The following is a 25622-nucleotide window of genomic DNA, read 5'->3' on the forward strand; positions in this document are numbered from 1 at the left end:
AGGAGCCTTGCTATGTCACCCAGGCTGGTCTCAAACTGCTGGACTCAAGAGATCCTCCCACCTCAGCCTCCCAGAGTGCTGGGATTACAGTCGTGAGCCACTGTATTCAGCCTAATAATTATCTTTTTTATTTGTAACTAAATCTATTAAAATCCCAGCCTTCCTATCTCACTGCCATGAATTCTGAGAAAATATTGTGTTCATCTGCATCCAAATTTCATTTAAAATATCTGGTAATTCAAGCCTTTTAGTAATTTTTAGAAATAAATATACATATTTTATCATGTATCAATCTTAAAAACTCAGTAAGAATACATCTTGTCATTACATTAAAACTATCAATTCCAAAATATCCATAACATGAATAATCATATCAAAGGTATTTTAGCCAAAAGGAAATGCTATTTTAAGATAAAAACAATGGAGGAGTTAAAAAGTACAAAGTAGTATATCACTAAGATATGCCTTAAGTAAATATTTTACTATCAAATTCCTCATATATAAGAAACACCATGCAGTTTCACTTGAACGACATGTTACTGTGAATAATCTGCTATAATAAACTCCTTTGTAACAAGTAACTCTACAAAATGAAATTACAACAAATTATTAATTTATGGCTGTCACATGACCCAACTAATCTCCACAAGTGCATTAAAAACATGATACTTGACTACCATGTTCAGCTGTAACTAACTGGGTTATTTACTGCCAATAAACTCTGTTTACCTGCTGTGTAGTTTCTAAGGGTCGAATTCTTTTCTTCTCTACTTGAAAATCATCATTTTCATCTCTGTATATGGATGCCTGTTTCTTAGCAGATAACTTTGCAGCCAGAGTGGTTTTTTCAGGGGAGTCTTATATAAGTAATTTAAAAAAAACAGCATAAATAACTTACAGGTAGGCAATTTTTCTAGAAGAAAACTGGAACCAGGATGTAAGGCTTATTTCTAGAAATTTCATACCATAATCTAAAACATGAAACTTAAACATGTTTAAAAAGTACTTCTCTACCATTCAGTTTACTTTACCAAAGATTCTGAGAAACATGCTTTCAATAGGAAAAGTCCAATTTGATTTTTTAAATCGCCTTATGTACTTGTAGACTACTCCCAATAACATGATTTAAAATGTATAACTGCAAGGATCTCTGAAGAAAATATATTTCATGTCTGTAAAAATCTTTCTTTACAGTATCAACGTTTCTTCCCTACTAAGTTTCTCCACGTTCTTTAGAGCAAAACCATTGATTATAGAATCAAGCTCATATAATCTGTCTTTTAATCCCATAATCCTGAAAGCTCCTTCTCAAGGTCATCCAGGACCTCTTAATCACCAAATAACATTAATTATCCCAATCTTACAAATGTGAACACTAGGTTTTTAAAAGTCTAGTAGCTTGCCCAGTATCATACAGTTATTAAATGGTAGAGCCTAGACATGACTGAATCCTGCTGTGTGACTCCAACATCCATACATGTAACCTCTTAGGCATACAGCCAACACTGTCTTCTTGGAACACAGCAAACACATTTTCTTCTTCCTTAATGTCTGTAACACTGCTCTTAACTATTCTCATACATTGGTTTCTCCCTTTTCCTAAATATAAATATTCTTAAAGGTACCCTCCTTCCTCTTTGCTTCTCTCTAAGCATTCTCTCCACTCCCATGGCTTGAATTAATTTAACAATCTTTTTTAACCATCTTTTTTTTTTTTTTTGAGATGGAGTTTTCCTCTTGTTGCCCAGGCTGAAGTGCAATGGTGTGATCTCAGCTCACCACAACCTCTACCTCCCAGGTTCAAGCGATTCTCCTGCCTCAGCCTCCTGAGTAGCTGGGATTACAGGCATGTGCCACCACGCCTGGCTAATTTTGTATTTTTAATAGAGACGGGGTTTCTCCATGTTGGTCAGGCTGGTCTCGAACTCCTGACCTCAGGTGATCCACCCGCCTAGCCTCCCAAAGTGCTGGGATTACAGGCGTGAGCCACCGTGCCCAGCCAACAATCATTTATTACACTGAGTCTAACCCATGGCCAGACACCATGGAAAAACAGTGAAAAAGAGAATCCTTGGCCCTAAAGGATTTACAGCAGAGAAAGACCTACATGAGCAGGTCCAATACTGTTTTCAAAACACAAATTTGAGGCCGGCCCCAGTGGCTCACGCCTTTAATCCCAGCACTTTGGAAGGCCGAGGCGAGTGGATCACTTGAGCCCAGGAGTTCAAGACCTGCCTGGGCAACATGGCGAAATCCCATCTCTATTAAAAATACGAAAATTAGCTGTGCATGTTGGTGCAGGCCTATAATCCCAGCTACTCGGGAGGTTGAGGCATGAGAATCTCTTGAACCTGGGAGGCAGAGGTTGCAGTGAGCTGAGATCGCGCCATGCACTCCAGCCTGGGCAACAGAACAAGACTCTATGTCTCCAAAAAAAAAAGAAAGCTTGAGATTACATAAACTCAGAAATGAACCTATGCCACATAGCACTGATTTTCAAGTTTTTTCTAAAGTGTAGGAATATTTTCTTCTTAAAGAAATGTTGCAGCTGGGCACGGTGGCTCACACCTGTAATCCCAGCACTTTGGGAGGCCGAGGCAGGTGGATCACCTGAGGCCAGGAGTTTGAGACCAGCCTGGCCAACGTGACGAAAGCCCATCTCTACTAAAAATACAAAAATTAGCTGGGCATGGTGGTGCATGCCTGTAATCCCAGCTACTTGGGAGGCTGAGGCAGGAGAATCACTTGAACCCGGGAGGCAGAGGTTGCAGTGAGCCAAGATCGCACCACTGCACTCCAGCCTAGGTGACAGAACGAGACTCCATCTCAAAAAAAGAAAAAAAAAGAAATGTTGCTTAAAATTTCCAAAATAGGGATGAAAGACCCAGAACTTCCCTGATCCACTTTCCCCCTTCCCTTATGAGTCATGTTTCTTTCTTTATAAGGTTCTTAGAAACACAGTTTGAAAACCACTATACTCTAAAAATCCTAATAGTTTTGCCTATCAGAAGTAGGTCTTTAATCTACCTTGAATGGGCTTTTGTATATGGTATAAAGTAGGGCTCCAATTTCAATTTTTTCCATATGGACATCTAACAGGCCTAGCACCACCCAAGTTCTTCCTTTCCCCTACAAGCTGTAGGGGCACTTCTATAAAAATATCAAGTTTCTGGATACATGTGGGACCAAATTAGGGTTCTCTATACTTTTATATGAGTCTATCACTGTGCTAACCTCAGTCTGTCTTAATTACTCTATATTTACACACAATAAATCCGTATATTTGGTGGATCAAATCTCTCACCTTGACCTGCTTCTTCAAAAGCATCCTGGCTATCCTTAGTCCTTTGCATTTCCATATATATTTTAGATAAGATAGGTAATTTTGAGCTCTGCATGTCCAGGCAACCAGTAAAATAACCACAAAATAAACCTAGATCAGTGATTCTCAACCAGGCCAATTTTAACACCACCACTTCTCATCCCAGGCATACTGGGCAATGTCTGGAGACATTTTTCGTTGTCACAAAAAGAGCAGAGGTGGAAATACTACTAGCATCCAGTGCATAAAGGCCAGAAGTATTGCTAAACATCTCACAAGGGAGAGCTCCTACAACAAAGAGTTATCCCACTCAAAATGTTAATAGTGCCACTGTGGAGAAACTCTGTCCCAAATAAATACGGGGCAAACTGACATGGGCCTATTAAGAGGGTAGGGAATGTCCACCCAAAATGATCATTTAGTTTTAGAAAACTGAACTGCCATGTGCCAAATAAGGGTAACCCCAATTCATAAAAATAAAAATCATATTATCATCACATACAAAAAGGCTTATCTTCCTGGTCTTGATAGCAAGGGAGTTTGAAGGAAGTTCATCAAAGGGGTAAAATCTTTAAGATACAAAGTTAAAAAGAAAGAAGATATCTCCCGATTATGTTTTTTTAAAATCTTCAAGAAACCTAAGAAATACCCAATAGAAAAATGGAGGCTGGGCACGGTGGCTCACACTTGTAATTCAAGCACTTTGGGAGGCTGAGGCGAGTGATCATTTGAGGTCAGGAGTTAGAGATCAGCCTGGCCAACATGGTGAAACCCCATTTCTACTAAAAATACAAAAATCAGCCGGGCGTGGTGGCAGGTGCCTGTAATCCCAGCTACTCAGGAGGTTGAAGCAGGAGAATTGCTTGAGCCTGGGAGCTGGCCAGTGCAGTGAGTTGAGATCGCACCACTGCACTCTAGCCTGAGCGACAGAGTGAGACCCCACCTCAAATAAAAAACAAAAGAAAAATGGCAAACAACTTGATTAGGCAATTCACTAAAGAGGGTATCCAAATGACCAATAAACATATGAAGTCACCAGAGAAATACTAACTAAAACCCAATGAGAATACCACACATACACAAGAATGACTAACTTTTTTTTTAAACTATAAATATCAAGTACTAACAAAAATGGTGAACAACTTTCATATACTGCTGCAGGGGTTGGAGGGATCTGACCGGGGACGCATAAATTGATTCAACCACTTTAGAAAATGTTGTCAGTATCTACTATAGCTGAACATATGTATATACTATGACCAGGTATGTGTCTACAGACAATACTTACCTATTTGCACCCTTTGAACAAGAATGTTCATAACAGCACTATTAAACAATACTGAAAACAACCCAATGCCTAACAACTGTAGAACAGATTAATAAACTGTGGTATATTCATACAAGGAAATAATACACAGAAACAAGAAGTACTACTATATGCAACAGCATGAATGAATCTCACAAATACAATATTAAGCAGAAGACAGACACAAGATTACATATATAATTCCATTTTTTTTTTTTGAGATGGAGTTTCACTCTATTTCTGTAAAAAGGCAAAACTCATCAATGGTCACAGGAGGACAAGAATTACCTATGGAAAGAAGGGACAGTGACTGAAAAAGAAGATGAGGAGGGCCTCTGGGGTGTTGGTAATGTCTCTCTCTTTTTTTTTTAATCTATGTAGTAGTTATGACAGTGAAAATTCATCAAGTTATATACTTAGGATTTGCATTTTTCTATATTTAGGTTACAGATTAAAGGATTTACTTACAAATATAAAGAGCGTATCAGAATACAACCTTGATTTTTCCCATTTAGACTATTCTAAATAACACTGACTCACAGTAATGTCAAAATCAAGTTGTGTACATATGGATAACTCATTGTTGATAAAGACACAAAGGCAATGTAGTGGATAAAGGATAGCCTTTTCGATATATCCAGGTGCTGAACAACTGGATATCCACATGCAAAAAAATGAACTTGAATCCATACCTTACACCATATACACATATTAACTCAAAATGGATCTTAGACCTAAATGTAAACCTAAAATTCTATCTGATCAAAGACTTGTATTCAAAATGTTTAAAGAAGTCTCAAAATTTAACAGTAAGAACACAAACTAATAAAAAATAGGCAATTATTCGAACAGACATATCATCAAACAAGATACATGGATAGCTAATAAGAACATGAAAATATGGGAAATAAAAATTAAAACCACAATGAGATACTGCCACATGCCTATTAGAGTAGCTAAAATTAAGGCCAGGTATGGTGGCTCATGCCTATAATCCCAGTGCTTTGGGAGGCCGAAGAAGGCAGATCACTTGAGCCCAGGGGTTCAAGACAAGCCTGGGGAACACAGTAAAACCAACAAAAACTATAAAAATTAGCTAGGTGTGGTGGTGCATGCCAGTAGTCTCAACTACTAGGGAGTGTGAAGTGTGAGGATCACTTGGTTCCAGGAGGCAGGGGTTGCAATGAGCCAAGTGAGCCAAGATCACAGTACTGTACCCAGCCTGGGCAACAGAATGAAACCCTATCTCCAGGAAAAAAGAATGGCTAAAATTAAAAGGACTGACCATACCAAGGGTTCACAAGGATGTGAAGAAACTGGAACTCTCATAACTGCTGATGGGAATATAAAATGGTATGACCACTTCATGAAACAGTTTAGAAATTTCTTAAAAAGTTGGCCAGGCACGGTGGCTCACGCCTGTAATCCTAACACTTTGTGAGGCACAGATGGGTGGATCACTTGACGTCAGGAGCTACAGAGCAGCCTGACCAACGTGGTGAAACCCCATCTCTACTAAAAATACAAAAATTAGCCAGGTGTGGTGGCACATTCCTGTAATCCTAGCTACTTGGGAGGCTGAGGCAGGAGAATCACTTGAACCCGAGAGGCAGAGGTTGCAGTGAGCTGAGATTGCGCCACTGCACTCCAGCCTGGGCAAGAGTGACTCCGTCTCAAAAAAAAAAAAAAAAAAAAAAGTTAAAACATACACACCTACAAAGCAATCTGGTCATTCTGCTCCTAGTATTCACCCAAGAGAAATGAAAACATACATCCATACAAAGATGTAGACACAAATGTTCACAGTATCTGTCTTTGTAATAGCCCAGAACTAGCAATAACCCAAATATACATAAACAGCCAATAACCAATTTGTGGTATATCCATGCACAATTACTCAGAAATAAAAAGAAACAAACTATTAATACATGCAACAACATAGAGGAATCTCAAAATAATTGTCATAAGTGAAAGAAGCCAGACAAAATAAGTATACATCCTGTATGAATCCATTTATATAAACTATAGAAAATGCAAACTAATCTATAGTAACAAAAATCAGACAGGTGGTTGGTTGGGGAGGTGAGTCATGTAGGGGTGGGAAAGAGGGATAACAAAAGTCCATGAGAAAACTTTTTGGGAAAGTGAGCATGTTTAAAAAGTTTTGGATAAAGTGAATATGGGGTTGGTGTGTATGTTCACTGTCTTGATTCTGGTGAAAGTTTCATGGAGGTACATATGTCAAAATGTATCAAAGTGTACCATTTAGGCTGGGCGTGGTCGCTCACGCCTATAATCCCAGGACTCTGGGAGGCCGAGGCAGGTGAGTAACTTGAGGTCAGGAGTTCGAGACCAGCCTGGCCAACATGGTAAAATCCTGTCCCTACTAAAAATACAAAAAATTAGCTGGGTGTGGTGGCAGGCGCCTGTCATCCCAATTACTTGGGAGGCTGAGGCAGGATAATTGCTCGAACCCAGGAGGTGAAGGTTGCAGTGGGCCAAGGTCACACCACTGCACTCCAGCCTGGGCAACAGAGTGAGATTCTGTCTCAAAAAAAAAAAAAAAAAAAGTACCATTTAAATATATGCAATTTGTTATGTCAAGTAAACGTCAATAAAGCTGTTTTTAAAAGGTTGTATATAAATATTATACACCAGAATTCCTATAATTAGCTGAAAATTAATCCCATTCATTCCTAACAACAAATATTTATCTAGCACCTACCATATGCCAGGCACCCTGCTAGAGTTCTAGGGATACAATGGTAAGCAAATTGACAATATTCCTAACCTCATGAAGTAGTCTGCCAAGGAAGCAGAGATTAATAAAAGATTTAGACAGACACATATAATACAAACTGTAACAAGTGCTATAAAGGAAAGGTACACAAGGAGAAGACAGACTATAATAGGAAAATCAAATCTACTCTGACAGAAAAATCAGTGATGGATACCCCAAGGAAGTCACATGTAAACTGAGGAAGAAAAGGATAATAAATTGAAGATGGAACTTTGCTCAGAAGAGACACTAATAGAAGCAAAGGCTCTGAGGAAGGAGAAAGCATAAATCTTTGAAGGAAAGGGAAGAAATCCAAAAGGCCAAAATCAAAACAATGTAGACAACACTATTGGTCACCTATTTAATAACTGTTCCACTTCTCTTTCCTCATTCCTACCAGAAGTTCAATCATCTACCCTCCTCTATATAGTCACATGCTTTAGAGGAAGCTGACTCCATCCTTGATTTTAGGAAATGGATACTCTTTGTTTTGACTTAAGTCAATCATGGCAACCTCTGTCTCCCTGCCAGTGACTGGTAAAGGAATAGCATGAGTAAAAGCAGAAAAAAGCGTTATTGGATGCTCTAAACAAGAAATGGTAGTTTGGACTATGGAGGTACCAATGGATATGGAGATGTACATGAAGAAATAAGAAAGAGCAAAGTGTCCAGGATGTTCCCTAGGTTTCTTAGGTAAATAATAGTCTATCCTTTCTATACAGCCAAAAGCAGGTGAAATATTTTTTAAATATATTATTAATAATCTTATGTTACTCTTAATGTATTTCTCTAAAATTAGTAAAAATTATTTAAAGATCACACATAAACATACCTGATACTTATGTAGGATACTGGCCTCAGAAGGCCAGGCAAACTTATCAAGAATGAATCAATGAGGCTAATTAGATTTCGTCTTAGGATACAAACATTGTTTTATAGAATTCTAACATATAATTAACAATAATGGCTACAAATAACATCAATTTTGGAAAATCATTTATTTTGCCTTGCCTTCCTTAAAAAATTATTTAGGACAACAAAATGTCTCAATAAATTAAAAGTCAAACCAAGAATTTAAAAACGTCTATGGATTTTTGACCACTCTGTGCTATTTTAAAATCATTCCAGAGAAACTAGATAGAGATATATAATCAGTTATGCTAACCAAACTTATATAAATTAGGGCTTATAACAGTAATAATTAAGACTCTTATTACAGATATCAACTGACCCAGGCAAAATATAAATTACCTTGACAAGTTGATGAAGTGCCATTTCTTTCAGAAGGTGGTGTGCTTGGATAGTTGAAATGACGTGAAGTTCCTTGGTTCATGTCATTGTTTGTAAAATCCTTTGAATGGCATGCACAACAACATGACAATTGTACTTCAGCTTTTTCACTTACGCCCTCATCTGCTGGTTTCCCTAAAAATGAAAGAACATCTATTTATAATATATCTAATTAAATAAACATCAATCATTCTCTACAGCCCAGTTCACCCAGGATTGGGAGGTTTCCTAAGATAAAAGATTTTTAGGGCTAACACCAGGAAGGTACCTGGCAAACCTGGACAAGCTGGTCACTTTATCTGCAGCATCAAATTAGGACAGGAGAGAAATAAGCCAAAAACATTTGGTTGGACACAGTGGCTCACGCCTGTTATCCTAGCACTTTGGGAGGCCGAGGCAGGCACATCAATTGAAGTCAGGAGTTTGAGACCAGCCTGGCCAATATGGTAAAACCCTGTCTCTACTAAAAATACAAAAATTAGCCAGGCGTGGTAGTGCACGCCTGTAATACCACCTACTCAGGAGGCTGAGGCAGGAGAATCGCTTGAACCTGGGAGGCAGAGGTAGCAATGAGCAGAGGTCATGCCACTGCACTCCAGCCTAGGCGACAGAGCAAGACTCTGTTTCAAAAACCAAAACAAAAACATTTATAGGGAAATTATCACCCATTTATGTAATCTGTAAAAATCTAATAATCTAAGATTAATAATGTAATAAAAGTACAACTACTCAAGTATTCATTTATATTAAGATTTATCTAAAATTCAAGAATGGATTGAAACAAGGACATAAAGTATATCCTTAATTACTACTCTTTCCCTAAATGAAGAATTTGAAAGTTCAATATATTAGATAATAATCTAACACATAAGGGTTAAATCATTCCCCCAATTATACTTCTATTTCAAATAGAAACATGTTTTTTGATGTATTAATTCTGATACTTGCATCAAAATACATTTTAAGGTCAATATTCAAATCAATAAAATAGGTAATTTTAGTGCTAAATATAATACCAAATTGTAATAAGTTTACATTGTGTGCCTACATTGTATACAAATGTACAATTCATATACCCCCAAAAAAGCTAAATAATTTATTTTTAAAAATAATCAGTATTGACATTGTTTTCCCATTTGTACCATATAAATATTCCTAATTCTATTTTCCAGACATCTGCCATTAAGACCTGAAGTTAGTACCGATAAACTCATTTTTCCCAAAATTAACGTCAGTGAGAATCAAAATGAACAACCAAAAGCTTATGAAGTATTTACTGTTTTTTTTTTTTTTTGAGACAGAGTTTCGCTCCTGTTGCCCAGGCTGAAGTGCAATGGCGCGATCTCGGCTCACTGCAACCTCCACCTCCCAGGTTCAAGTGATTCTCCTGTCTCAGCCTCTCGAGTAGCTGGGATTACAGGCACACGCCACCTCACCAGGCTAATTTTGTATTTTTAGTAGAGACGGGGTTTCTCCACGTTGGTCTGGCTGGTCTCAAACTTCCAACCTCAGGTGATCCACCTGCCTTGGCCTCCCAAAGTGCTGGGATTACAGGCGTGCGCCACTGTGCCCAGCCTTAATATACTCTTATTAGTAACAAACATTTCATTTTAAAAATGTATCTATATACCTATATACACATACATACATACATACACATACCATGTTTAACCTCAATTCTCCTAATACTTTAGGTTAAAGCCATCTAATGTAACTAAAATGTATCCAATATTATATTTCTGATTCATTATGTAGTTTATATAGTCTTTCATAGAAGTAAATATTAATAGGCATTTGTTAGCAAACAAAGTAAAAATAGTTTGGCCTGGTGGCTCATGCCTATAATCCCAACTATTTAAGAGGCTGAAGCAGGAGAATCACTTGAGCCTGGGAGTTTGAGGTTACAGTGAGCTATGATCACATCACTATGCTCCATCCCAGGTGACGCCACTCAAAAAAAAAAAAAAAAAAAGGAAAAGTAGTGGGAAGTAATATAAATTCATACAAACAATATTATACTAAATTTCTGTTTATCTGGCATTTAAACAAGTAGAAAGATCAACTAGAATGTATTCTTTTTTATATATTCCATGTGCTGATGTTATGAGAAAGGAACAGGTAAGCAAATATATTAAAGGATTTCCCCCCCCAAAAAAAGCAATTAGTATGTGTTACAGCATCATGACAGCCCATCTCTTGCATCTTTTACATACAAATTATCATCTAATTATTTTTATAATAACTCTAAGCATCCAAAACTTTGTTTGTTTGTTTTCTTTCACCCAGGCTGGAGTGCACAATCACAGCTCTCTGCAACCTCGACCTCCTGGGCTCAAGCGATCCTACCACCTCAGTCTCCCAAGTAGCTGGGACTACAAGTGTACATCACCATGCCTGGCTAATTGATTGTCAATTTTTGTAGAGATGGGGTATCACCATGCTGCCCAGGCTGCCAAGTCTTTATGTACTTTCCGACTCATCAAAAGACTAAATTATGTTCAATACTATTTTAGCATTAATTAAACATATTTTGCTATATTGAAACTCTTTTGGAAGATTTATAACTTATTTCAAAGAAACATCTTTAAACAAATATTTAAGTTAGCGACAGCATGGCTGAACCAGTCTGGATAAAGAATACTGTATTATATTTTCTCAGATCCCAGTAAGTAACCTGAAGATATCAAGCAACTACTTACCACTAAGAGATTGTTGCCATGCTAAAGCAGAACAAAGTAAGGCTAAGCTTTTTCCACTTCCTGTGGGACTCTCCAACAAACAATGTTGCTTGCTGTTTAATCCTCTGAGAATCTATGAACACAGAAACCAATGAAAATAATAAACATATTAACTTTATAAAGGTCTCTCTCCATCTGAAGTTTAAATAGAACAGCAAGGAAAAGTGAGATTGCACTCCAGGGAACACAACAATAGCAGAAGGAACTCATATTTAGTTAAATCCAAACTGTATTCCTTTACACCTCTCCCTAAGATTATCTTACTAAAATATCAAGCACAAGAGAAGAAATGAAAAGAGGAATCTGTGCCAGAATTATGCAAGCATCAATGATTTCTGTAAAACCAGAATACATTACTACCTATCAATATATTTGATGAAAACTTAATGAAGGATACTGCTAGTGAGAGTACAAATTGTTACAACTACTTGGTAGAGAAATAAACAATTTCTTATAAAGTGAAGATGCCCAGCTCCAGCAAGTCCAGTTCTATGTGTACACCCAAAACCTTTCCCACATGAACACAAGGAAACATGCATAAGAAAGTTCACAGCAGCAGCCACGCTTGTAATCCCATCACTTTGGGAGGCCAAGGCAGGTGGATCATTTGAGGTCAGGAGTTCGAGACCAGCCTGGCCAACACGGTGAAAACCCGTCTCTACTAAAAATCCAAAAATTAGCTGGGCGTGGTGGCGCATCCCTGTAATCCCAGCTACTGGGGAGGCTGAGGCAGGAGAATAGCTTCAGCCTGGGAGGCAGGGGTTGCAGTGAGCCAAGATCGCGCCACTGCACTCCAATCTGGGCGACAGAGTGAGACGCTGTCTCAAAAACAAAAAGAAAAAAGGAAGTTCACAGCAGCATTGTTTGTAACTGCAAAAGAATGTAAACAACCTAAATGTCTACCAATAAGAAAATGGACAGATAAATTCTGGTATATTCATCCAATGGAATTTATACAACAATTAAAATGGATTAAGAATCAACAGGGCTATACATTAAAAATAATGCTAAGTTAAAAAACTCAAGTTCTGCATAAAAAGTAAGGTACCGTATCACATCAATGCACAGTTTCAAATATGTAAAATAATATTCTATATTGTTTATGGATACATATATATGTAATAAAAGTATAAAAACATGGCTAGGAAAGGAAAAGAACAAATTCAGGATACTAATAATCTTGTTACCAGTAAATAAGATATGAAGTACATATGGCAAAATAGCTGTAACAAAACTGGAAAGCTGGTTTACTCAAATTTGTATATTAATTTTCTACATGATCCAAACAAAACAATGGTGAGAAAAATAGTATTCTGTGTAAAAGATAGTAAATACTCTGTTTTTACTTAAAAGTATAGCAGTTTTTCATTAAAAGTATAGAAATTCCAAATGAGCTGAGAACATTTTTCAGAATGTTCTTCTTTGCCTTAACCACAGATATATACAGTTTAGCTGCAATCAGTAGTTTCCCAGAGGTTAGATATTCTTCCAAGTGAACCCAGAAAATATTCTCCATTTACTGAGAATATGAATGCAGTCAAATACTCAATGTACTTTATGGGTCATAAGTATCTATATCTTAATAAAAACTTAACTGCTGAAAAATACTTACAGAATTCATCATAGCAAGCTGTGACGGGTAAGCTTTATAAGGAAAGTAAATCTTCACCCCACCAATTGTATATTCAGACCACATTGAAGACATAGTGCTTTCCTGTTTATTTCAGATTCCTAACTACAACAGAAATGAAAATGTCAAATATTGAGACACGCCTTACAAAGAAAACCAGAGAACCAAAACTAAGGGAGAAATCTGGAAACAGAAACTGGAATTAATAAAAGTATAAACAAAACAAATGGAAACAAAATAATTTCCTAGTCTTATAAATCACAGCGGTCAAGAGCATGTCTTAGAGTCTAACAAATCTAGATTTGTATCCTTCACTCTGCCAGGTATTAGTTGTGTGACTTCGGGAAAGTTAGTTACCTTCTCTAAGCCACAGTGACTGCATGTACCCCATAGGATTGTGGTAATGATTAAGTGAAATAATGTGCAAATATGATAAAGTACATACCAGATTAAACATGAGCTCTTGTAACAGTTAGATCAGATGTAATCAACCTACAGAAACAAATAAGTTCCTGAGGCCTCTCTCTCTACAACTCCGTAGCATCACTCTTTCTCCAGTTCTTCCCCTTTGTGTTACCCCTTTCTGCAGTCCTCCAGTTAGAAGAAAAAAGCTGTTGACCAGAAGTCAGGAAGCATAGGTTCTATACCAGGTTTTGGTATACTGCCTGGTATGTTATCTTTGACTCAGGTATGTTATCTTTGACATATCTTTTTACTTCTCTAGTCTAAGATCCTTACCTGTGATAACCCCTAATTTAATTTAAAGGCTGTTATAAGAAAGAGAATGCCTTGGCACATAGTAGGCACTCAAAAATGTTATTTGAAGATCAGTAGAGTATTATAGAAACAGGATGGGCTTTGGAGTAAGGCAATCCTAAGTTTGAATTCCACTGTGTGAATCACTTAACTTCTCAGAGCTTGTTTCTCCATATATGGAATTGAAATACTACTACTTACCTGACAGGGTTTTTATGAAAATTAGCCAGGGCAGAATGTACCTAACCCAGGATCTGATACAGATGAGGATCACTTTAATCCTCACCTCTTCTAAACCACTTTTCTTAACCTAGGATCCACGGATGTAATTCAGAGACAATGACCTCTTGAAATTGCAAGCATAAGTTTCTGTACATGATTGCATTTTTCTGAAGAAAAAGTCCATAGATTTCTCTTCCCGTAAATATATCTCAAGGAAATCAAAATAGCGGGGGAAATTACATGCACTGTTATTAAATAAGGAATTATTTGCAGTCGTGGGAAAAAATTGTAAATTCAACCTGGGGACGAAGAGATGGTTAAAATAGCAATTCAATAGATTATGAAGCCAATAATAACATTCACCACTGCTTGTGTGCTCCAAAAGAAGAACCATTATTCTAGGGTATTTTCCAGCTCTAACATTTTGCGATTCTATCTGTAAAGCTCTGAGAATGAGGTATGGTGGAATCTAACCTCTTAATATGAATCAACAACTCAACGCTGGCCTAGTTACTCAGATATAATCTAGAAATCAGCCCGTCCTGTACCCCGGCTGTGGCAACAATAGTGTCAAAATGGGGTAGCTTCCCCCAAACATTGCATAAAGGATAAACACACCCCTCTGCCTCCCGCCAAGAATTAACGCAGCGCCCGGGCTAAGAACAGGCCTGCGCTCAAAGGAGGTAAGGATAGGCTCCCTCCTCAGGTTTTCTGCCCCGTATCTCCCTCCTCCCCCAGCCAGTTGAGATCCCCGAGACCCTGGTGATCCAGTCACCACCCATGGGCCCGCAGGCTGTGCAGAAGAACTCAAGCCCTTTCCGTGGACTTCCCTCCGACTTGCCTGTCTGGAGGGAAACCGAAGCAACGCTCTGAGCTCCGATTCACTGAAGAAAAGGAAAGGAAACCGACTTCTGAGAGCAAATAAAGCGGAGCCCTGGAAGAGAAGAAAGGGCACGAGCCCTTCCTCCTCCCTCTTCCTGGGGGTGCTGCTACTTCCCCGGCCTTGTGTGCAGGACTGGGGCCGCCGTTACCTTTCCTCGACCCACCAGACCCCTCAACCACACAACCCGAGACGAATTCCCGCCTCCCGCCCCCTCGACTCCCAGCGCCCAATAGCCCAGCGAGCTCGACCAATCACCCGCCAAGGCCAGGAATCAACCAGTCCCGGTGCGAGGTGAGGGGGCGAGAACTTCGGCATCCAATGGAAGTCTCCGAAAAAAAAAAAAAAAAACAAGGGCTCAAGGTACGCGGCGGAAGGTTGTCGCCACTCCAGCAAATCCCTAGTGTTTGTTTAAAGTAGAAAGTCGTCTCAGTTTGACTTTTGAAACCGGCGATAGAGTCTATGCAGCAAATTCCTTGGAAACTGGAAGTCTCATTCTTCACGTCCGTAGACCAGCGGAAAGGAAGTATCTTTAAGCTTTGCCAAGTTCTTTGAGCATTTATCAGTGCCACTCAATTTAAATTACCCAGCTTTGCAGTAGCCAGGATAGCGAAGACTCAGGCGGGAATTGCCAGACTGCTGAGCCAAACTTAAGTAAGAAGGCTCTGTGACATCGGGCTACAATCTATCTTTCATAATATTCAAGGCTTTCCCGGATGCTAAAATAAGCCAGAGACAAGCTCTCAGGGTCTCCAGTATCAGATCACTTCTACTTCCATTAAGGCTTATCCGCCTTCCATCCCTCCTAAGACCAGTTTATTATTTGCCAGTAGTACTTTAATTTACTCAAAGAAAAGGAGGTTCATCATGATCTTGCCAAATCATGTTATTTTTTTAAAAAATCTGTATAACCTAAACTTGGCTCAAATAATAATGTCTCCAAAAGGCAAAACCTCATACTGTTTCTCAAATTCAAGTAACTAGTTTGGGGAAGGAGTTTGCTGGGAAGAAAGAGCAGGAGGGGGCTAGTTGATTTGTTTGCCTCATTGTCAATTGTGATATATCTTACCAAAAATGACAAAACTTGTAGTCATAAAAATAAACTCTACCCTTTGACCTAGTAATCTGAGCTCCAGATATTTATCCTAAAGACGTAATCTAAACGAAAGAAAATGTGATACCGCAATTGACAATAATATCTATTGGTAATACTGAAAAAAATTATGAACTTCCCAGTCTAGTAATATGGAGGTGGTTATGACAGATGAATTCAATACATTATGAAGCCAATAAACTTATAAAAATTAAACTTGCAAGAAAAAATCCCATATAAGGTTAAGTGAAAAAAGGCAAAGCAAACCCCAAACTGGGTGTTAGGGATTCAGTAATGTGAAAATACATATGAATGAGCAAAGATGAAGTAATTTACTGTTAAGACAATGAAAGGAAGGATAATGTTTAAAAATAAATCCTTAAAAATACCTTCAAATTGTCATTTCTCTTTTATAATTTTTAAAACATCAACTCTTGGCCGGGCGCAGTGGCTCACGCCTGTAATCCCAGCACTTTGGGAGGCCGAGGCAGGCGGATCACCAGGTCAGGAGACCAAGACCATCCTGGCTAACACGGTGAAACCCCGTCTCTACTAAAAATACAAAAAATTAGCCGGGCGTGGTGGCGGGCGCCTGTAGTCCCAGCTACTCGGGAGACTGAGGCAGGAGAATGGCGTGAACCCAGGAGGCGGAGCTTGCAGTGAGCCGAGATGGCGCCACTGCACTCCAGCCTGGGAGACAGAGCGAGACTCCGTCTCAAAAAAAAAAAAAATCAACTCTTTTGAGTAACTGCTCTAGTATAACTACTCTCATTTTCCTCTCCTAAATTACTAAGAGTTTCAACTGGCTCTCACCTTGCATTGCCATTTAATGTATGTGGCATAACAGAAAGGGATACACGTAGGCCCTGGAGCCATACAGACCTCGAATACAGTCCCTTGAACCGTTCCCTTCAGGTTAACTCTAGTGGAATGAAACACAAAAACTACAGGTTCGTTTGATAAAGAATATGAATGTTTATAAACCAATATTCAAAATAGCTGCACACATCTGTTTTCACTTGAATAAAAAAACACATTGTGACAAATTTTATAACCTTAACTTAAAATACATGAATATTAACATTTACTAATATATTTACACATTTTATTTACATCATCAACAAATCTGATGAAAAAGAGCATATGTGATTATTTTAACACAGCAGGTTATGACCAGTCTTTGAATATTGATCCAGGAATGTGCACTGCATTTAATTAGAAAACATACTTTTAACTTTTTCTGAACTCCTAGGGCATATCTATTCACACAAAATATCGCAAGGCCTCAGTTTAAAAAAAAAAGGAGCAGTTGTATTTAATCTTAAGGGACTACAAAACTGCCTTGTTTAAAAATATGAAAATTCTTATGCTATTTTTAAGATACTTTTATTACTTTTATTTTTCACATCAAAATTACTTAATTGAACATTAAGCATCTAATAAAAAGTTATAAATATTCTATCACATGTGATACTATGCACTTCATGATTTGAAACAGCTACAAACTCATTCTCATAGAATATGAGGTAGGGCCAGTAGTAACCCCATTTTACAAAGGAAGAAAATGAGATGTGACTATTTACTAGTGAAAAGGCTAAAGTTAAATTTCATTTCTCAAAAACTACACCTTCTTATTAGCCTAATTTCTTTTACAAGTGAAGCGGTCTGGCCAGGTGCGGTGGCTCACACCTGTAATCCCAGCACTTTGGGAGGCCAAGGTGGGCAGATCACCTGAGGCCAGGAGTTCAAAACCAGTCTGGGCAACATGGCAAACCCCCGTCTTTACTAAAAATACAAAAATACAGGTGGCGCGTGCCTGCAGTCCCAGCTACTCAGGAGGTTGAGGCACGAGAATCCCTTGAACCCAGGTGGCAGAAGTTGCAGTGAGCCAAGATCATCCCACTGCACTCCAGCCTGGGCAACAGGGGAAGACTCCACCTCAGGAAAAAAAAAAAAAAAACACAAGTGAAGAGGTCTGTTTCAAGTGGGGGTGGGGAAGTGTGTGATTGAGGTATATCTCAGAGAGAAAAAAGGGAATTACTTTCTACATTGATAATTTTTTTTTAATGATTAGGGTTTACCTGAATATGTCTGCCTAATCAATGGAAGTTACTGACAGAGGACTGCAAAATCCTTCGGCAAGACAATATTTTCTACACTTTAACTTTTCCTCAGGTTCAAACACTGCATTTTCTTACTCAAAGATCTTCTCAAAGTAAGATATGAATTATAATCCTGATGACAAACCAAGAGCTCTTTAATCCAGTGGGTTTTATTGCTCTACCTTCATTTAATTTGATACATATTTCCCCCCTCTGAGCATTAGGTAAGTTAATAAAGCATTATAAAAATAAATTTAAAACATAAAACTAAATGAGATCTCTCAGGTTCTTCTTTGAACAAAGATGTTTCTGTAAACACTTTTACACCAGTATCTTAAAATTCCAAATTATTCAAGTATCTCTTTAAACATATGGCTTCATATATTAATAAAAATTGAAGCAAATATGTGAAATCTTTAAATCCTCATCTGTATTTCCACAGAAATCATTTACAAAAGCTACTTGCCTTTTTAAAAGTCTTCTCAATACTCTTTCTTGAGAACTAGAATTCCAACTTGCATTACTATTACTTGCACTGCAAATCTTTGAGATTTCTACTTGTGTTTTTAACTCCTATTATTTCCTTAATTCTCCTTTCCCTTTACCCTTTTTTCCTCTCCCATCTTTGCATCTTTGTCACATTCTGTTACAAGCTCACAGTTAAAATAAACACTAGGGCTACCCACAGACTCATTTTTATAAGAAATTAAAGGCATGGCAGTCTTCACTTCAAAAGCTAAATACAAGGCCAAATTCCCTTTCCAATAATGAGTTTCTTACATGTGTTCCCAGTGGAAAAAAAAAAAGCTCAGCTGCTACAATAGAAACATATCAGCAAAGTAGATCCAAAGATGTGCCAATCAGAAACAAGCAAGCATAATTCTCATAAAGTTCTAAACTATACTCATGTTGAATTGAATTGTTTTAGTGATTCCAAGACAATACTTTACTGTTCCCATTCAGTTTAGAGTTGTTACTAATATGCAGATTCATGTTGGGTATATGCAGCAAACAACTTTTTGTTGTTTTAAATTTTGTTTTAAATTCCACTAACACTCATATTTATTATTTCAATTACTGTTCTTTCAATACAGTGACAGAGCTGTACATCAGGATCCATGCTTCCAGTGTCCCTGGATCCATTTTTATAAGATGAATCTTTACAGATTTGAGACCATCCACTTGGTTTCTCCTTTATTTGTTGAAGACCTACAACATAAGGGAAAAAAAACATTAAGGCCAAGAAATTTGGAAAGGAATTTGGCCTTTTTGTTTGAGATATTAAGATAACCCTTGAAAATAAGTTACCACTTACGTGTAATAATTGGATCAATGTCTCTTGTCTGAGTGGCAACATCAGAGGCACAAACTTGCCCTATTTGGATCAGCAAAGACATAATATCCTCATACAATGGAGGAAATGCTCGACAAAAAGAGACCAAACTTGGCAGAGTTGGCATAAAAAAAGCATACCGCTTAGCCTGTGTTAAAACTGTTGGAAAAAAATGAAACAATATTTTAGTTTACAAATATAAATTCAACACAGCTTACACAACATACTAAGGGGAACTATGCTCTGTGCTGGAGATATGAAGTTCTCTAAACACAGCCAACCCGTCTTCAGAAAGCTCACAATCTAGTAGTCTCAGTCTTTATCCAAGATACAAATTATTATGCACAAGTTTTGCAATAAGTACATTACATGCATTATTTCATTGAATTCCTACAATCTTATGAATGACCAAAGTACTATTATGACACTCATTTTATATATGAGAAAACTCTTAAAAAAAGGTTAGAGAGGTTAAGAAACTTGTTAAAGATCACAAGCCAGTTAGTGGTGGGGCTGAGATTGAATTCAGGCAGTGTAAACTCTTAATCACTACAAATAATTATAACAGGATATAAATACGATGAAAAGAAAAACAACAGGGTATTATGGAAATATTATAATGAGAAAGAATACTAAGTTAACTATGCCATTACATTAAGGGTTGCATTATAGTTCATATATTTTAAAGTAGTTTATTTTCAGACCATTTTATTCTACAAACCAGAAGGTGGTTAAAATATCAGAATATGTTTTAGAACTTATGAAGACATCTAATACATTTATCTTTCATTTATACATATGATGATATTTTTCTGGAACTCTGAGCATTTGTAATAAATGAACATTTGTTATCTACTGATACAATTACATTCTGAAAGTGTATTTGTTTTCCATTTATAAAATACAGAAAGCTTATATTTACAAATCTATATATACTCATTCACAAAATGAAAAATACAATTTGCCTACCTATTCATTCCCACTACACTATAAATCACATTTGTAAACAGAAGTTTCCAAAAGAAGAATTCAAAAGACGGCATAAGTTAAACTAGTATTTAACACATATTGTATCATACTGTCTCAGAGTGACAGAAAAAACATATTGCATCACTAAATGCAGAAAATATAGGAACTATAATAATTTATGTCAGATGTTTGTTGATGTTGATTGGCTACATACCTGTTAACAAAGTTCCCATGACATTGACAGCTAAACGAGCCACACTAAGTGACTTTGGTAATGCATATTGTATACACAAGTGAGAAAGCAACTGGATAGCAAATATCTGCAATACAAAATCCAGTTATTACATGTTTCTCAAGAATATCTTTAGGTATTAAAAATTATAAAATGTTTTGTATAACTAGTAAGACTGGAGAGAGAGATCAATTGTCCTAAAGCTCCAAAATGCTCATTACCTGTTTCTCAAGTTCTGGCTGTGCAATAAGCTCAGGTATGAAATCTAGACAGATGTGCATAGATGGAATACCTGCGACCGTCAGAGGCAAAAGTTCACATGGATAACCCTATCTCAACAAGAAACGGGAAAAAAGTCAGAAATAAAATAACTATAAAAGTACAGATAAAAATACAAATGAAAGATTTCATTTCCTTTCTGTAAAAATTGCTCAGAAGGCTATAGTGCCCCATATGTAACCTGGCATTTCACTTTTCTGATGCACTAGAATAGAGATTAAACTATCGAACATTTCATTAGGTTAAAAAAAAAAACAACTAAAAATCTGGATTTTTCTCCATATTGCAAAAGCCCATGGATCATTTGTGTTTTCTCTGGTTTCTAAATGATCCCTGTTAATATAGTATTCAAAGCCCCCAAGAAAAATAAAGTTCAAACACAAAGCATCATTCTTTGGAAACAGACCTGAAAGTGAACAAGCTTAGCAATGTTGGGATCTGCAATGTACATTTGGTGCAAGAGACAACAGATAAGGCACTGAACTTCTCGAAGGTTACAGAGCAAATTGTCTTCTCCTTCCTCCATTCCCTTATTTGGAGCGCTGGTGGTAATAACACTTTGAACATTTCTTAACAAGCTATCTGGATTGACACCATTTGCTTTCTCCTCTTCAGTAGGTAGGCAAATCTCTAAGAGAATCTGGACAGCTGCACTATCCTATAAGCAAACAAAACATAGAAAAAGTAAGAAGTTTCTAAGAAGTTAAAAAACAAATCAGATTTTATTTTCACATGAACAGATATGATAAAATAACTAATTTCTTAAACACACATACACAAAGAGGTACTTCTAAGAGCAGAACTGAGCAATCTGTAGAGCAGTGGTTCTCACCTTTTTAGGATTATGAACCCCTTAAGAATCTAAAGAAAACTATGTACCCTCTCCCGATAAAAATTAACATACATAAACAAACATCATTACATAATGATATCACATATCTCTAAAATAGATCCATGGACTCCAGTTTAAGAATATCTACTAGAAGAGTATCATGAATTCAGTTACATCCAAAACAGGCCCTAGGCAAAAATGACTTCTACCAGAATGTCCTTTCCTTCCTCTTAATCTCCTACTTTTCCCAGTATGCTATCCTGATTTCCCTTTTTTTCAACCTGTTTAAGGCTCTGGTTTCACAAGGAAAGAGTCTACCTTACCATCCATTCCACCTGCACAACTCATTGCTCAGTCTACAGGCTTGAGCATCATTGCACAGAGCAGTAGCTTGAGGGGTAATGGCAATATATTTGAGGCCCCTATATATAAAGGAGAGCTAAAATCACTCTCATCTAGCAGAAAGAAGTAAAAAATAAAAATGAATACATGACATCCACCTCTGATAGACAGCTACTGCCTAAGGTAGAGAAAACAATTACTTGAGCTAAGTGATTAAGAACTTATTATAAAGTGAGGTTAGACTACTTTATAATCATGGTTCTTGGGGAAAGGAGTTTTTGGTTATTGTTATTGTTATTGTTTTGTTTTCTTTTGTTGTTGTTGACTCAGGAGCCAGAGTGCCTAGGAGTGAATCCTGGTTCTGACATTTACTAAATGTGTAACCATGAGCAAGTCACTTAACTTCTCTGGGTCACATTTTCCTACTCTGTAAAAATGGAGATAATACTCTATACCTCATAGGTAGGTTATAAAAATTAAATGAGCTAATATATTTAAAGAACTTAGGCTAGCACCTACCATATGGTAAGCACTACACAGATGTTAGCTTTTATGATCTTCAATCCCTTATCTGAAACTCCTAGGAACAGATTTATTTTATTGATTTATTTTATTGATTTTTGTTGTTGTTGTTGAGATGGAGTCTCGCTCTGTCGCCCAGGCTGTAGTGCAGAGGCACGATCTCAGCTCACTGCAACCTCCGCCTCCCGGGTTCAAGCCATTCTCCTGCCTCAGCCTCCCAAGTAGCTGGGACTACAGGTTTGGGCCACCACGCCCGGCTAATTTTTGTATTTTTAGTAGAGATGGGGTTTCACCATGTTGGCCAGGCTGGTCTCAAAACTCCTGAACTCAGGTGATCCACCCACCTCAGCCACCCAAAGTGCTGGGATTATAGGCATGAGCAACCATGCCTGGCCAAAAAACTTTTCTAAATATAAAGTTGAACTGCTTATATTGTCATGGTATTTATCACTGCCTGACATTTTATTATACATGCAGTTGTTTTTCTGTTGTCTGTCTCCATAATTTGACATTTGATCTTAAGAAACAAATAACTAAGGATTTTGTCTTCTTCACCACTCTATCCCCAGTTCCTGGAACAATACTTGGCACACAGTAGGTGTCCCAGTAAATATTGGTTGAATGAGGCCGGGTGCCGTGGCTCATGCCTGTAATCCCAGCACTTTGGGAAGCTGAGGTGGGTGGATCACCTCAAGTTAGGAGTTCAACACAAGCCTGGCAAACACAGCAAAACCCTGTCTCTACTAAAAATACAAAAATTAGCCAGGTGTGGTGGCATGTGCCTGTAGTCCCAGCTACTCAGGAGGCTGAGGCAGGAGAACTGCTTGAACCCGGGAGGCGGATGTTGCCATGAGCCAAGATTACACCTCTGCACTCCAGCCTGGGTGACAGGGCGAAACTCTGTCTCAAAAAACAAAAAAAACAAAAAAAATGTGCCGAATGAATAAACATGTAACTCTAAACTCAGAATAGGTAAACACTTAAATTTTATTAAAATATAAATCTTATTTAAATGGCTATTTCATTCATATCATGAAGATTATTCCTGATTTCAGAAATACAACATATCTGATACTCAGAAGCAAAGGTAACATCATTGTAATAGATTCTATAATAAAAGAAATGCACAATATGTCACCAATGTACATGGAGCGCACAATGTGCCATCTATTGAACTGATTATACTAGTAGAGAAGCCCTTGCTCTTTTTGACTAAATTTTACTTTAGCAAAATTTACCTGAGCGGCCAGTAATGCATTTTTCAATTCTTCCCTGGTAACTTCCGGAGCATCAGTTTGTCCAACTAAACCAATTGTATTATTCTGGGAAGGCCTATCTTGCTCTGTTTCCTTCAGATGAGCACTAAGGTAGGCTTTAGATGCAAGAAGATATCCATTCAACATGTGTAGGGTAATATCCATCAGTGGGGGGCATCTAAACAAGGAAAGCAGAAAAGAAAAATATATCAGAAAGAATATAAATTTATAAATTAGCCAGAACATGATCAATTTAGTTTAAATGCTGAGAAAAACCTGAGTAGTACATACTAACTTTTCCCACTAAAATATTCATTCTCAAAAGTTTAATATATGTTTCTTATTCTCTGTATTTCAAGCCCTTATATAAATAGTATTACTTGTTTCATCTTATCAGCTAAAGTCAAATATGTATAATGTAAATTCTAAAGAAAAGATGACCGGGTGCGGGCAAAACAATATTGCATGAAGAAAAACTGTAATACACGTACAAAAAGCTGATATCCTTTATAGATAAAGAGCTCTTTAAGTCAATAAAAAATATAGGCTAAAATATAAAGATGAAATAAATGGCCAGTAAATACTGTTAAATGTCCAGTCTAATAAGAATATAAATTAAAATGGGAATCTATTTTCACCTATCAAATTGGAAAACATTATATCAAATAGTGCAGGAAAGTATATACTATCAAACACTGCTATGGAATGTAAACCAGTTCAGCCTTTCTACATAGTAGAATGAAAATCTGAATTAAAAGTCTTGAAAATGAGCACGACACTTTTGCCCCAATAATTCCATTTTCCCATGTTCTAATGAAATACTCAGCATGGGGAAATGCACATAATCACCAAAGCACTATTGATAAAAGCAAAAAGTAGAAATAAAATATCCTAGGGGATTGGGTTAAGCATAGCTCTATAAAATGGAATACCATATAGCCAATTAAGATAAGAATATAAACTAGGCACAGCAGCACACAACTGTAATCCCAGCTACTCAGGAGGCTGAGGCAAGAGGATTGCTTAAGCCCAGGAGTTCAAGACCAGCCTGGACAACATAGCAAGACCCCCAACTCAAAAAATAAAAATAAATTTGAAATAAGAACATTAACATGAAAAAAGGTTCACAAGTTGTTAAGTGAAAAATCCGAGCTACAAAAACATTAGATACAATTTGATAACAGAATTTAACAACTTCCTTAAAAACTGAATCACCTAAGGTGATTCAGGTGTAAGCTCACCTATTTCAGTGGATTTTTAACAATGATAAATCATTTTTTCAAGAAACAGCTCTTTTCTAGAAGTGTTATTTATTGTGGTTTCCTTTTATTAGATACTTAACATCATTTACATACACAGTTTGTTCTGATTCCTATTTCCTATGAGATCTTAATCTTACCAAACCATATTTAGCTAATTTTGTAGATTTTGTCACTTCGAGAATGTCATCCCTTGGTTGATGACAGACAAGTTTAAATATCAAGTGTGTCCTATTTAGTCTTCCTTACTAGTTTCTCTCTCCTCTAATCCACCTAGCACAAAGCATCTTTTCCTAAGTTATAACCCCAACCACATTAGCCTAATATTCAAGGCCCTCGATAGCCTGACCCCAATTTAACTTTCCAACTGTAAAATGTTCTCTTTTCAAAAATAACCCTCTTCACGGCTTCCTCATTCTTGCTTCTAAACTTCTGCTCATACTACTCTTTTTCTCAAAGTACCTTCCTTGACTCCCTGAC

At 37.2% G+C, this 25622-nt stretch overlaps 2 protein-coding genes across 25 annotated transcripts in view; both read right to left on the reverse strand.

The window, feature by feature from the left end:
- Nucleotides 1-15129, reverse strand: part of BRIP1 (BRCA1 interacting DNA helicase 1) — a 184390-nt gene extending 169261 nt beyond the window's left edge. For 10 of the 22 annotated variants that reach the window (XM_011525336.3, NM_032043.3, XM_011525335.4 and 7 more), the window contains exons 1-5: nt 14885-15129; nt 13048-13170; nt 11397-11508; nt 8659-8832; nt 730-857 (exon numbers count right to left, since the gene is read on the reverse strand). In XM_011525336.3, the coding sequence (XP_011523638.1) occupies nt 730-857; nt 8659-8832; nt 11397-11508; nt 13048-13140 (507 nt within the window). In that variant the 5' untranslated portion in view covers nt 13141-13170; nt 14885-15129. Of the gene's footprint in view, nt 1-729; nt 858-8658; nt 8833-11396; nt 11509-13047; nt 13171-13510 lie in introns of all 22 variants that reach the window. The other 12 variants (XM_047436893.1, XM_047436891.1, XM_011525333.4 and 9 more) reach the window with 2 other exon arrangements.
- The window catches only part of INTS2 (integrator complex subunit 2), a 62616-nt gene continuing 53961 nt past the window's right edge, over nt 16968-25622 (reverse strand). For all 3 annotated transcript variants that reach the window (NM_020748.4, NM_001330417.2, NM_001351695.2), the window contains exons 20-25: nt 23866-24061; nt 21338-21589; nt 20874-20981; nt 20635-20740; nt 19434-19610; nt 16968-19327 (exon numbers count right to left, since the gene is read on the reverse strand). In NM_020748.4, coding sequence (NP_065799.2) covers nt 19158-19327; nt 19434-19610; nt 20635-20740; nt 20874-20981; nt 21338-21589; nt 23866-24061 — 1009 coding nt within the window. In that variant the 3' untranslated portion in view covers nt 16968-19157. The remainder of the gene's footprint in view (nt 19328-19433; nt 19611-20634; nt 20741-20873; nt 20982-21337; nt 21590-23865; nt 24062-25622) is intronic.

The sequence above is a fragment of the Homo sapiens genome, chromosome 17 (assembly GCF_000001405.40).
Source record: "Homo sapiens chromosome 17, GRCh38.p14 Primary Assembly".
NCBI lineage: Eukaryota > Metazoa > Chordata > Mammalia > Primates > Hominidae > Homo > Homo sapiens.